This window comes from Homo sapiens, chromosome 8 (genome assembly GCF_000001405.40).
Source record: "Homo sapiens chromosome 8, GRCh38.p14 Primary Assembly".
Taxonomy (NCBI): Eukaryota; Metazoa; Chordata; class Mammalia; order Primates; family Hominidae; genus Homo; species Homo sapiens.
Genome location: NC_000008.11, coordinates 55,502,271 through 55,517,024, shown reverse-complemented (window position 1 = coordinate 55,517,024; position 14,754 = coordinate 55,502,271). Strand labels below are relative to the sequence as shown.

Genomic DNA, 14,754 nt, shown 5'->3' with positions numbered 1-14,754 from the left:
TTCTGAGTTATTTCACTTAGGATAGTGGCTCCCAGTTCCATCTATGTTGCTGCAAAAAAACATGATTTCAGTCTTTTTTATGCCTGCATGGTATTTCCATGGTGTACATGTACCATATTTTTTTTAATCCAATCCTCCTTTGATGGACACTTAGGCTGACTCCATATTTTTGCTATTGTGTATAGTGCCACGATCAACATACAAGTGCAGGTGTCTTTTCAGTATAATCATTTCCTTCCCTTTGGGTATGTACCCAGTAGTGAGAATGCTGGATGGAATGATAGTTCTAATTTTAGTTCTTTGAGAAATCTCCATACTGTTTTCCATAAAGGTTGTACTGATTTACATTCCCACCAACAGTGTATAAGCATTCCCTTTTCTCCACATCCTTGTCAACATCTGTTGTTTTTTTGACTTTTTAATGAATGAGTACATTTGCCATACAGTAGCTTTTCTCATATCATTTCCCTGTCTTCCCAACATCATTGCAAACATCTTGACTTCCCTTTTTCTCTCCCCATTTCTTCGTCCTTTCTGTTGATTTCAACATTTTTTAGAGGAAATTTAAAGTATCTTCTCACAAGTAGTTTTAAGAATGGATGATTTACAACATAACCCTACTATAGAGGTGAGATGATCACATGACCATTCATTACACATATATCTTCTCCTCACACTCTCACCATAATTTTTTCACCTAAAGGCATAATTTCTAAGTAAACCAACCAACTAACAAACACAATACTGAATTTTAGATGGCAGTATAATATTGATTTCTTGCAGTCAAGAAATTTTATAGTTTCTTTAGTGCATATGAGGCTCATAATCATAGACAAATTAAGAAGGAACAAGCATTTGTTGGGCCCTTGCTTTGTGCACAGTGATATGTTAGGCAACTACAGCCTTTGTGCAATATAAGTGTCATAAGAACACTTTGAGGCAAGTATTGTTTTTTGCAAACAGGCAAACAGAACCAAAGAGAGGTTAAATGACTTGCCCACACTCATGTAATTAGCAATGAGAACAGGCATCAGAAGTCCTGCTTCCAAAGCTCCATCCACCACAATGGATTGGTATGGTTACCTTCACCAACAACCAGAGCATGAGACTTACAAGTGCAGGGACATCTCAAATCTCCCACAGTTCACACTCACGGGGTACATGGCAGGCTGTGGAGGACCTGGAGGTCTTTAACTCTTGCCCCCTCTTTAGGCAACTGCTCCCTAATAGGTTTGCCTCACACTAATTCCTGTAGGACTGTAGCAACCATATTGGTGCCAAGGCCAAAGGATCAATTTTGGATTCTTTTCACAAAATGGATCAGAGGCACAAGCACCTGGGAGGAAAGCCATGCTTTTCTCCTCTTTGCACTTTCTGATCTAAAAGAGGCCTCCTAGTCTTCTTGGATTTTTGCCTGAGGAAAGACAGTTCCATACTTGAGTTGAATCATGTGATCTAAGAGTAGCAGGTCACAAAATGAATATCCAGAGCCAGAATGGTTTCCCATTTCTGCAGTGTGTTTAGAGATTGTCTTTTAGTTACAAGTATAAAAGCAGTAGAACCTCTTGGCTGGAATCATAGCTAATTAACCTAGTTGAAGGAAGGTAATAATTGAAAAAAAAACACGACAACCTCTATGCTCAGATCTTTGCTGAGTGCAGTGAAGGGAAGGAAGGTAATACAAGCTCCACCGGGTCTAGGGCTTTCTCAGTATCCCTGCACTGAAGCCATTTTATCTCTGTTTTAAACCTTGTAATAGTTCTGATTAAAAATATTTAAATGCTTTAATATGTTTAGTTTTGGTAGGGATATACTTTCTTTTGGTAATCCATTTGGAGGATTTCTACTTCTTTGCAAGGCAAATTGTGAGTCTGCTGAGGAGATGATAAGGAAAACAACGAATTGAAATTAAAAAAAGTTTTAATATAAAAAGAGTTGGAGGAAGTTGTTGGGAGAAGCAAAGTGTCTCTCCTCCTTCTTGACAAATATGGAAGATTATTTCCTTCTGGTTGGGAAAACATATCTCAGATAATCTCACATAGCTCCATTCCATTATAAAATTTAGTTTTTTATTAAAATTTCTCAAGAAGACAAATATTTTAAGTGTGGGAATTTGAAACTATCTAAACAATACTTTCTCTGAGAAAAAAATTCTGTAAATGGGAGAAAGCAAGAAGGCCCTCTTCTTTGTTCAGTACTACATATTGCGTGATTAATTTTACACTAAAAATAAAATGATGATACAATAAGTAACCTGAGATGCCCAATAGAATTAAGTTTTTGTTTAGGGTAAGTTTATTTTCCATCCCACGTTTAAAAAAAAAGACACTGAATGATTTTTTTGTTTGTTTTTTTGTTGCTTTTCTACTTTCAGGGGCAGGCGAGAAATGAAGAGGGAAACACGGATGGAGACAGGAAGACAAGCTGTGTCCCTTTCTTACCTGTCCATGAATGACATGGCTAGAAAACAGCAAGGTTAATCTGCATTTAATGATCCCAGCATGCTTTGGGAGGCCGAGGCGGGCGGATCACTTGAGGTCAGGAGTTCGAGACCAGTCTGGCCAACGTGGTGAAACCCCGTCTCTATTAAAAATACAAAAATTAGCCTGGCATGATGGCACATGCCTGTAATCCCAGCTACTCGGGAGGCTGAGGCAGGAGCATCACTTGAACCTAGGAGGCGGAGGTTGCAGTGAGCCAAGATCATGCCACTGCACTCCAGCCTGGGTGACAAGAGTGAGTGAGACTCCTTCTCAAAAAAAAAAAAAAAAAAAAAGAATCCCAGCATGTAGCAAGCAAGCATTGCTATGTGTCTGACTTTTTCTCATTTATTTCTCACAGCACTACTTCTTCAATGTAAATTTTTTGTCCATTTTACAGATGAAAAAACTGAGGATTAGAGAAGTGAAATAATCTTACCCAGGGGTGGCACACTTTTTCTGTAGAGGCCCAGATATATATTTTGGGCTTTGTCAGCCATATGGGTCTCTGTCACAAGCATTTGGCTTGGCTGTTATTGAGAGAACACAGCCATAAATACCTAAACAGATGAAAAAATAGGAGGTGGGCTGGATGTGGCCCATGGGCCTCAGTTTCCTGGCCCCTCACTCATTTCACTGGTGGACACATTTCTAACATGTAACAGAAGCAGGATTTACACCCACATTTTTCTGACTTCGAAGTCCTTACACTTTTTCCTATATGCATGGAAACATTTTAGGCCAATTGTGAAACCTGGTAACTCAAAGAAACTTTTTTAGATGGTTACAGTATGGGCATAGGTGGTGCTGTCTGCATGAAAGCCCAGAGGCACGGTGGCCAGCCAAACAACCAAACAAACCTATGGAACCTCCTGGTGTCAGTACCTCCTATACACAAGGTGGAGTATGGACATGAATAAACCTCTTGAAAAGGGACTCTTTCCACCTGTGGGTATCTGTTAAGGACCGCAGATGCCACATCTCGATACACTTCCTGATTATTTCCAGGACAGCAGGCAAGCACTTGCAGAGTGAACAGGCATGATAGGTTCAGGCTGGTCCTCTGGGTGCTTCATTCTGCCCCTATTTGTGGGAAGGGCAGCTCTTCTACCCAGCCTCACCCCTGACCATGCTGGCCAAAGCCTCTGAGATGGAAATTTAGCTGTTCTCCTTCCTAGATGTCCCTAAGGTGCCTTTGTAGTCTGCCATGCATGTGAATTCGATGGCCCACATGCCACAAAACATCCGCAAGCATCACTAATATTGACAGTTACTGGCCTATTTAGGGGAATGTGTAATGAGTGCATCCCTGGGAGAGTGAGTCTGCATCCCTGGGGTCTGTAATCAAGTGTGAATTCTAAGGAGAACTACTATCCACTCACCCACATTCAGAGTTATTCATGCTTCGTGGACTTGGAAGGGGGCCCAGAAGATGAGAAATGGTGACACTCACACTGCCTCACACTGGGACCAGGGTGAATGAAACTAAGGAGCACAAGATATGCTTTGGCAGTAGGTGTTGGGGTAGGTGGCACAAGTAGAGGCGGTGCTGGTGTGGGATGTTCATGATCACACAAGGTGGCACCAATATTTGCATTTGTGAACCTTGAGACCTGAAGCCCTTTTCTGGTAGGAGAGCTGGGAGTCTGCTTAAACGAGTCTCTGCCTACCAGGTAGAGAGGAAGGCAGAAAGAACACCTGTGGTGGGAGAGTTTCTCAAGGAGAGACCCCAGAGAGAACACACTGGCGTGCCCATCCATGGAGGGGTGTATTGGTAGCTGTGTTCCAGTGACCTGTGGGTTGCACTCAGAAGGCCCAGACTCATATCCTCCCCACTTTTTCCTCCTCTCTCCATCCCTCTCTCAATTCTTTCCTCTCATAAATGTTTATTGAACACCTACTAAGTGCCAGGCACTAAAGACACAAACATCGTTCCCTAGAGGAACTGAAAAATCAGTATGGAAGACAGACATATATTTGCAACATACATATTTACAGCATAGTGAGCAGTGTAGAGAAGAGAGAACCCGTGTACTAAGGCTTGGTCCAGGAGGGGAAAGGAAGCTCAAGAAGAGATGGGCACAGGCCAAAGCTTGCAGGTGTGGCTGAGGCTGGCCTGGGTGTGTCTGAGGCAGGGCTGAGGAGGGCTGGCCAGAGGAGGCAGGAGGCTGTGGTCATGATATCCCAGACAAAGGGACTCAGGTATCATCCTGAGGCAGTGGCACCTGAGGCAGTTGCACCTTTGGCAGCCACGTGGCAAGGTGCGTGTACGATCCCTGAGTGGGCAGAGTGTGCCAGAGGGAAGGGGACCCTCCAGACAGAGGCGGGAGTTATCTCAATACTTGGGTGAAGATGGCAGTGAGGGTGGGGAAGCAATTTCTGTGGAGCTCTAGAGGATGCAGAGGTCACTTCTGGAGCTGCGTGCCTCTGGGTGAGTCACTTGACTTCACCCATTTTTCATGGATTTGAGTGAGTGAGAATCAGTGACACCATGTGTCTGTTAGAGCACTTTATGAACAGAAAAGCTTCTCTATAAATATAATTGGTCATTCTGAATCCTAGCTTTGCTTGCAGTTTTGCCCTCCCCACTCCACTCCCCCTCTGGAGCATTTCAATGCCCCGGGATTGAAGGAAATTTTATTGGAGGATGTTGGTTTGAATAGAATAGCATGACAGAGAAAGAATACAATAAAAGGTACGAGCTACAGAATAAATATTTTTTTCTTCCTTAGAGATATAAAAGAAATGCTTTTGACAGGATAATATTTTCAAAAATCAGCTCAAAGTATGAGGAAAAATACTGGCCATTATTTACCTGTGCAGAATGTGTACTTAATATTATTGGCTTAAAGGCCTATGCAATAGAGTCCACTTTGTTGGAAAAAAGGAAGGGCGAAGTCGAAGCTGTTCCAGGATTTGCAGAGAAATCTGAGACAGAAGCAGGTTTTAGTGGCTTCCTTCCTCAGGATTTTCCTGAATTGTGTACAAGAAAGGAGGGCATGGCCCAGCTCATAATATAGGGTCCCTATATGTGGGGGTTCCTCCCGATGCTGAAAAGGAGGCAGAAAGGGAAGGACTTGGGGGCAAGGGGCTGGTTGGGGGAAGGCAGAAGGTAGAGGGAATGCCTGTCCAAACCCTTCTGAGGTCCTGGGACCTCAACGGACACTTCCTTTGTCTGCTTTTGATTGCTTATGTTTCCTGGCTTCATTCCGCAAATAATTTCTGGCAGAAATTGATGCCCTTTAAAAATACCTCACCTTTTACACACAGTAGCTTTCTCTAAGGATCTTGAATATAGAATTGGTTCCTTGGCCTGCGGGGTTCAGGGGGAGCAGGAAAAGGACTTTTTCTGTGTGTCTGGGGTGGGAAGGGACTGGAACCACGGCTTCTGTCCTATTTTCCAGCGTCCCACCCCCTGGGTTGCTTCATTTTTACTCTGTCAATAAAAAGAACGTGGCTTGCTGCTGGGACCATTTAATAATGCAGCAATAAATTGTGCTTTCAAGCCCAGCAGTGCCTTTCTAGGTGATTTACAAAAAACAACTCAATACCCTGAGGACATGGATGGGTAGCATTCTCTGCTCTAATGGTTGGACTGGCTGGGAGAAAGCCCACCGTGTGAGGACCCCAAGGGCTCAGAAGTGGCCCAGCCTTCTCAGTCACCCTTCTCATCGCAGGGCACGGGACCTGGGCCATTGCTCCTGCAACTCTTAGGGCATCACTTGGCATGCTCCTTTACATGCTGTCTCTGGGAGATGCTCAGGGCTTTTGAAAAAGGAAAAAGTTTTTCCTGGGGAAGACAGACTATGAGAGCATCTAATAATATGATGAAGATCACCTTGGAGAGGAGAGTAACTTGCTGCTCTTTTTCCGGAGCAGCAGCTTGATCTCAGCTGACACAGTTTAGGATTTAGGATCAGATGTGGGGTGGGAGGGGGTCACACTGGGGCCCTGCAGGGCTTTGGGAGAGTGGACTCCTCTTCATTCCCATCTGCCCATCCCTGAGTTTAGGACTCCATCAGATGAAGCCTCCTATCTGTCCTCCTGGTAACCCCTCTCCCTCCCGTGGGGTTTTTAGTTTGTAATTAAAATGAACTGTCTATGATGGAAATCTGATCAAATATCTCCCCAGCTGAAAACCCTTCAAGGACTCCCTATTTATGTCCCCACAAGATAAATGACATACCAAGTCCTTCCAGAATTGCGCCTTCCCGCTTCTCGTCCACCTTCTGCCTGGAGACCCCCTTCCTCTCTCTCCTGGTCTCAGGGTCTCCTTTCTCCACCTGAAGGACTCCTTTGCCCACCTGGAGGACTCCTGGGATCCTGGCTCAGGAAGCCGTTTTGTCCCTTTCCATCCTCTCTGCCACCTAGGCCTTCTGCCTGGCCTTCTTGCAGTATTGACCTTCCCTGAGGACTCAGCCTGTGGGTGTCTCTCCTGCCCCTGGGAGGGGAGACACAGGGGCCATTCTGCCTGCTGGGTGTGGGTGTGTCACCTGAAGCCCAAGTAGGTTCTGCTCTTAACTCCAAGGACTGTGCTGGGAGTAGGGGAGAGAGAGGCTGTGGAAGTGCTTTGTAAAGTGTAGAGTTTTACAAATACTAGGTATTACCTCCATCATTCAGAAAACAAAGCCCAAAGGAAAGAACCTCACAGTCTTGGTTAACCAGGAGCACTATGAACTTTCTTTTAGAAAAGCGCTGGCTGTGAGAGATGCCTTTCTTGCCGAAAGAACAGATGATCAGACCTATTAAGGATCCCTCTAGTCTAGGGTTCTTAGAGGATGAAATGGCTGGCACTTTGGCAGCCTTTAGAAACTTGGCGTGTGATAGCCAGCTTCCAGGTTCAGGAGTACCAAAGCCAGTCCAGCCAATCTTTTCTAGTATAACCTTATTTTTAGAGATAAATAAGCCTTTCACCAGCTAATGTAAATTACTTCCATATTTGTCATGGATGATTATAGAGAGATTCTTCCCCATACACACTCCTAGGAACAGGAGTCACCTTTTAGCAGACCTGCCAAATTTTGAGGTGCTCTGATAATTACTGTATTTTTTAAATAACAAAATTCTGTTTGGGAAGGCCTACATATTTGAAGTGACCTAAATCATTGCATGTTTGGGCTGATTATAGAAATTTACTGACAGAACCAGTGAAACAAAGGACAAGATGGAAATGAAAAAGGAAGTACAGAAATTTAATTCAGTTTAAGAAGCATTCCTGGAAGTATGAGTTCACAATTAAGTTTTGGATCTTACAAATCAACCTCTTAAAGCAACATAGTGAGTAGTTCTGAAGATCATAAATGGCAAGAAAGAACCTTGGTCAGGTGTTGTCTCTAGTAGGTGCCTCACACACCTGTTCAGAGCAGTGCTACGTATTCAACAGGCAGCGGAGGACAGAGGCAGTGCTCCCCAACTATGCCTTCTAGAAGACTGAAAAATGATGATGAAGGAAAGAAGTAAACTTTTTCAATCCATATATTATTTGATTCGTATTTGTGACTAAGATAATGAATTAAATAGTATACATTGACATTCAGCTATTTCATCTCCAGTTCCAAAAGTTTATATACTTAAGTTGGCTTCAAAACTGTTTTATATGTTCTCCTTTCATTGGAAAAATGGAGGGTTGCTTTATACTAAGACTCACCTCAAAGTCAAGTCAGTACACGAATCCCCTGTCCCAGGCAGTCTGTAGCCTGAGTTCGGTGACCCTGATGAATAAGCAGCGATGACTCCATTCATTTTCACACTGTTGTGTTCTTTTCTGATTTCTTTATACTCAGTTGTTCAATTCAGTAAACACTTACTGAATGCCCACCTTGGGTTGCCCCAGACTAGCCCCTGGGAATGCTCAGGGCCTCCACCTCCTTCTCTCTTGAACCTCTTGTGTTCTCTGAACTGTATCTGGGTCTAGTCTCCATCATCCTTCCAGGCTGACAAGTCTGTGATGCTTGCTTGAGCCATCTCCTTTGAGAAACCTATCCTGTCCTCTCCCCACTGGTGGCCAGAAAGAAGCTTCTCCTCTGTGTGACTTAATTGTCAAGCTACTTGTCAGTCTTTCTCTTTTGTGGCATTCATGAGGGTAGGGACTGAGATCTATTCATTGCTGCACTTCCAGAAACAGAAAATGCCTAGCACAATTGATAATTATTTGATAAGTTGTATTGAATTGAACAGAATTGAATTTAGAGATGTTCTAAATTGAGGTATGGCTTGGATGCTGTTTTTGCTGATAAAAAAATACAAATGACCTGGATCAGGGACTGCTTATTAGCATCCTGGGGACTGAAATAGCCCTTGAGGACAGACCGTATAAAACACAAATCATTAAGAATCCAACGTGCATTCCTTTCCTGACCAAGACATGTCCCTAATAGGACAGAAGTAAGTTCAATTCATGCCATCACTGCTTGTAAAGGTTTTTCAATTAGGAATTTGTATGCTAGCTAGCAATAAAAGAACAGTAATTTCTCAAGACAGAGACTTTTAAATGGAAATGACCAATTCCACATTCAAGGCTCTTTCTAAATCTTTGAAAATGGATGAGAATCGTGCAGAAATAGGAACACTTTTACACTGTTGGTGGGACTGTAAACTAGTTCAACCATTGTGGAAGTCAGTATGGCAATTCCTCAGGGATCTAGAACTAGAAATACCATTTGACTCAGTCATCCCATTACTGGGTATATACCCAAAGGATTATAAATCATGCCGCTATAAAGACACATGCACACGTATGTTTATTGCGGCATTATTCACAATAGCAAAGACTTGGAACCAACCCAAATGTCCAACAAGGATAGACTGGATTAAGAAAATGTGGCACATATACACCATGGAATACTATGCAGCCATAAAAAATGATGAGTTCATGTCCTTTGCAGGGACATGGATGAAACTGGAAACCATCATTCTCAGCAAACTATCGCAAGGACAAAAAACCAAATACCACATGTTCTCACTCATAGGTGGGAATTGAACAATAACACATGGACACAGGAAGGGGAGCATCACACATTGGGGCCTGTTGTAGGGTGCGGGGAGGGGTTAGGGATAGCATTGGGAGATATACCTGATGTTAAATGATGAGTTACTGGGTGCAGCACAACAACATGGCACATGTATACATATGTAACTAACCTGCACATTGTGCACATGTACCCTAAAACTTAAAGTATAATAAAAAAAAATCCAACAGTAATAATAAAAAAAAAGAAAATGGATGAGAATCAATTATTTTCAGCTTTTATAAATATATGTATAGGGGTGCTTTGATAGTATTAAAGAAGCCAAGTCTAAGTTCTCAATAAAAACTCTGGGTTTATACATGTCTCAGACTTTTGGGGTTAGTACAATACAAGGAACTGAAAAATTTGGCAATGCTGTTATATATGTGGTCCAATGGCTGTGACAATCATGTGATCATTCTGAGGCCAATAGTCCCCATTAAGCTTATTCTGAATGATAAACTTGTAGAAAAGACTTGAACCAGATAATCATAAAGAAACATATCTCAGTAAATGATTGACAGAGAATAAGAAAAAAAAGTGACACCACAACCCTAAGCTAATATTAACTGAGCTTCCAAGAAGCCAAAGTGAAAAAAAAATTTAATGAGTTAAATAATTCTTGTCATTGGATAAAAGAAAGTAGTAATTGTCCTTGTGGAATATTCTGTCAGCAGTGAACCAGCATAGTCACTGCATTTTCCATGGAGTGCAATAAATGCTGCATTCACAGTCTATTGCTTGCATTATATACTTCATCAGAAATCTAAACCAACTCGTATACACAGTAGGTCTGTATGGACTTTTCATCTCTGAGTTGAAACACAATGAGGGCAGAATGGACTTCATGTCTGAGTCAAGCAGGCACAAAATCAGCTTTTCTCAGATATTAGTTAGGGAAAGGGGAAGTAGGTAATGGGCAGATAATGGACTGGTATGCACATTAAATTATCTCTACACTATTAACAAGATGAGATCTTAAACAAAGATGGTGCAAGGTGGAAGATGGGGTGTTGACCTTCCTAGGGCTTCAGCCAGGCTCTTAATAAGACACTAAGAGAAAGGAAGGCATACATGAAGTCAGTGCTGCTGCTGGGGGTAGTGACTGATCAAGGCACTGCAGTACAGGTCTATAGTGTGTGCCTGATCTGCAGCTTTTCCTTCTGGCTGAGGTCTTGAGTGGGAAACCTTGTGGCTGGTATCTGATTTTTGCTGTGAGCCTTTCAGGCCTATCTATTTGATCTCTAGTTAGTAGAGATGCCAGACTGATTCAGGAGTCCTCTCCTTACATCACCCACTGTCCTAAGTCCTCCCAGATGCCCTGTGGACTGAGAGAAAACACCTGTTGTTTAATTTGCATTTCATGCATTCGTGGGAGAGGGGGCACACAAACACAAAAAACCTCTGAAAGGATACAGGCTGTGTTTTGCAAGGGGAATCTCATTCTGTCTTTCAATTACTTCAGAGTTATAAAATGGTGGCTACTGCCAGTTAGAAGTTAAAGCATTTGCACACATTTATGTTGAGCAGTGCAGAACCTGTATGACCACATATGACAGCTCTTGAAAAAGTTGCTTTAAAAGTTCAAATATATATTTTGATATAGGAAGATTATTTGGTGTCATGATGGACATGGCCTGATTTAAAACAAATTACTTCATGTATCTTAGTATCTGTTTTAGTTTTCCTGTTTTTAAAAATCAGGTTGTTCAACCAAAAAGAAGATTAATAAGGAAATAGAGGACTTCAGCAGAAAATACATTTTTCTTAAGCACACATGCAACATTCTCCAGGATAGACCATACATTAGGCCACAAAACAGGTCCTAAACCATTTCAAAGGACTGAAATTATAGAAAGTATCTTTTCGGATCACAATGAGATGAAACTAGAAATAAATAGCAGAGGGAAATCTGTAAAATTCACAAATACATGGAAATTAAACTACATACTCTTTATTTTTATTTTTTAAAAATTTGTTTGTTTTTGAGATGGGGTCTTGTTCTGTTGCCCAGGCAGGAGTATCATGGTGCAATCATAGCTCACTGCAACCTGGAACTCCTGGGCTCAAGGGATCCTCCTATATCAGCTTCTCAGGTAGCTGGGACTATGGGTGTGTGCCATCATGCCTGGCTATTTTATTTTATTTTATTTTATTTAGTAGAGATGAAGTCTTGCTATGTTGCCCAGGCTTAAACAACATACTCTTAACCAGTGGGTCAAAGAAGAAATCACAAGGGAAATTATAAAATATCTTGAGACAAATAAAAATGAAAAAACAACGCAGCAAAAACTAATAGATGCAGCAAAAACTAATAGATGCAGCAAAGCAATGCTAAGCTAAAACATCTATAGATATAAATGCTCACATTGAAAAATAAGGTCTCAAATCAATAATCTAGCTTTACACCTTAAAAAACTATAAAAAGTAGAACAAACTAAACACAAAGCTTGCCGGAGAAAGGAAATAATAATAATTAGAGCAGAAATAAAATAGAGAATAGAAAAACAATAGAGAAAATCAAGAAAACCAAAAGTTAGTTCTTTAAAAGGATCAACAAAATTGACAAAATCTTTAGCTAGATTAAGAAAAAAAAAGAACCTCAATTATTAAAATCAGTAGCAAAAGTTGGGACATCACTACGAATTTTACAGAAGTAAAAAGAATTATAAGAGAATACTATGAAGAGTTGTATGCCAATTAGAATTGGGTAATCTAAAAGAAGTGGACAAATTCCTAGAAATACAAAATCTACCAAGACTGAATCATAAAGAAATAAAAAATTTGAACAGACCTATCACTAGTAAGGAGATAACATCTGTTAGGCAAAACCATCTAACAAAGAAAAGCCCAGGGATCTGATGGATTCCCTGGTAAATTTTACCAAATATTTAAAGAGGAATTACCATAAATCCTTCTCAAATACTCTCAAAATACTGAAAAGAAGGGAACAATTCCTACTTCATTCAAGAATTACCTTTATACCAAAGCCAGATAGAAACACTACAAGTAAAGAAAACTACAGCTGGGAACGGTGGCTCACGCCTGTAATCCCAACACTTTGGGAGGCTGAGGTGGGCAGATTGCCTGAGATCAGGAGTTGGAGACCAGTCTGGCCAACATGGTGAAACCCCATCTCTACTAAAAAAAAAAAAAAATTAGCCAGGTGTGGTGGGGTGTGCCTGTAATCCTAGCTACTTGGGAGGCTGAGACAGGGGAATTGCTTGAGCCAGGGAGGTGGAGGTTGCAGTGAGCTGAGATCGCATCACTGCACTCCAGCCTGGGCGACAGAGTGAGACTCTGTCTCAAACAAAACAAAACAAAACAAAACAAAACAAAACAAAACAAAAACAACAACAACAACAAAAAAGAAAACTACAAACCAATATCCCTTATGAACATTGATGCAAAAATCCTCAACAAAATACTGGCAAACTGCATTCAGTAGCATATTAAACGGATTTTGTACCATGACCAAGTAGGATTTATTCCTGAAATACAAGGATGATTTAAGATATAAAAATTAATTAATGTAATACAGCACATTAACAGAATGGAGGGGGAAAACACACCACATTATCATCTCAATAGATGCAAAAAAAGCATTTGACAAAATTTAACACTATTTCAAGATTAAAAAAACTCAACAAACTAAGAATAGAAGGAAACTACCTCATCATAATAAAGGCCATAAACGAAAAGCCCACAGCTAAAAAAATACTTGATGGTAAAAGACTGAAAGCTTTTCTTCTAAGGTCAAGAAAAAGACAAGGATGCCCACTTTTGCAACTTCTCTTCAAAGTAGTATTAAAAGTCCCAGTCAGAGCAATTAGGCAAGAAAATGAAATAAAAGACATGCAAATGAGAAAAGAAGAATTAAAATTATCTCTGAATAGATAACATAATTTGTAGACAATTCTAAAGATTCCACAAAAAACATGACAGAACTAATAAGTCAATATTGCAAAGTTGCAGGATAAAAAATAAATATAAAATCAGTTGTGCTTCTATATGCTAACAGTGGACAACATGAATATATTTGCAATACATGTAATGGAAACATGAAAAGGAAATTAAGAAAAAATTTCATTTATAATAGCTTGAAAAAGAATAAAATACTTATAAATTAACCAAAGAAGCAAAAGGTATGTATATTGAAAACTACAAAATGTTGCTAAAGGAAATGAAAGAAGCCATAAATAAGTGGAAAGATATCCTGTTTTCATGGGTTAGAAGTCTTAATATTGTTAAGATGTCAATACTACCCAAAGTGATCTACAGACTCAGAGAAATACCTATCACAATGACATTTTTTACAAAAATAGAAAAATCCATCCTAAAATTCGTATGGAATCACAGAGGTCCCAGAAAAGCAAAAATAATCTTGAAAAAAAAATTTGAATCACAATTTCTGATTTGAAAGCTTACTACAAAGCTACAGTAATCAAAACAGTGTAGTACTGACAGAAAGACAGACAAATAGACCAATGAAATAGAAGAGTGAGCCCAGAAATATACCCCCACATAGATGGTCAAACGATTTTTGACAAGATTGCCAAGACATTCAATGGGGAAAGGAAAGTCTTTTCAACAAATGGTCTGGGAAAACATATGCAAAAAGGGTGGACTCTTACCTTACACCACATGCAAAAATTACCTAAAATGGATCAAAAGCCTAAATGTAAAAACTAAAAGTAGAAAATTCTTAGAAGAAAATATAGAGGAAAAGCTTTATGATATTTGATTTGGCAGTGATTTCTTGGGTATGACACCAAAAGTATAGGCAACAAAAGAAAAAAATAAATTGGACTTCATCAAAATGTAAATCTTTGTACATCAAAGGATACTATCAACAGAGTAAAAAGACAGTCATAGAATGGGAAAAATATTTGTAAACCATATGTCTGATAAAGATATATTAAAAAAAAACTATAACTCAATAACAACCTCCCCACCCCAAAATTCAATTTAGAAATGGGCAAAGGAATTTGAACAGATATTTCTTCAAAGAGGTTACACAGATGGCCAATAAGCACATGAAAAGATACTCAACATCACTAAGGATTAGAGAAATACCAATTAAAACCACAATGAGATATAATTTCATATTTCATACCTATTAGTATGGCTATTACTTAAAAAAAAAAAGAAAATAGCAGGTGTTGGTGAGAATGTGAAGAAATAGGAACACTTGTGTACTGTTGGTGGGAATGTTAAATGGTGCATCCCGTATGAAAAACAGTATGTCAGTTCTCCAAGCAATTAAA

At 40.2% G+C, this 14,754-nt stretch overlaps 1 protein-coding gene across 1 annotated transcript in view; it reads right to left on the bottom strand.

The window, feature by feature from the left end:
• Window positions 1-14,754, bottom strand: part of XKR4 (XK related 4) — a 440,027-nt gene that overhangs the window by 25,030 nt on the left and 400,243 nt on the right. The window lies entirely within an intron of this gene.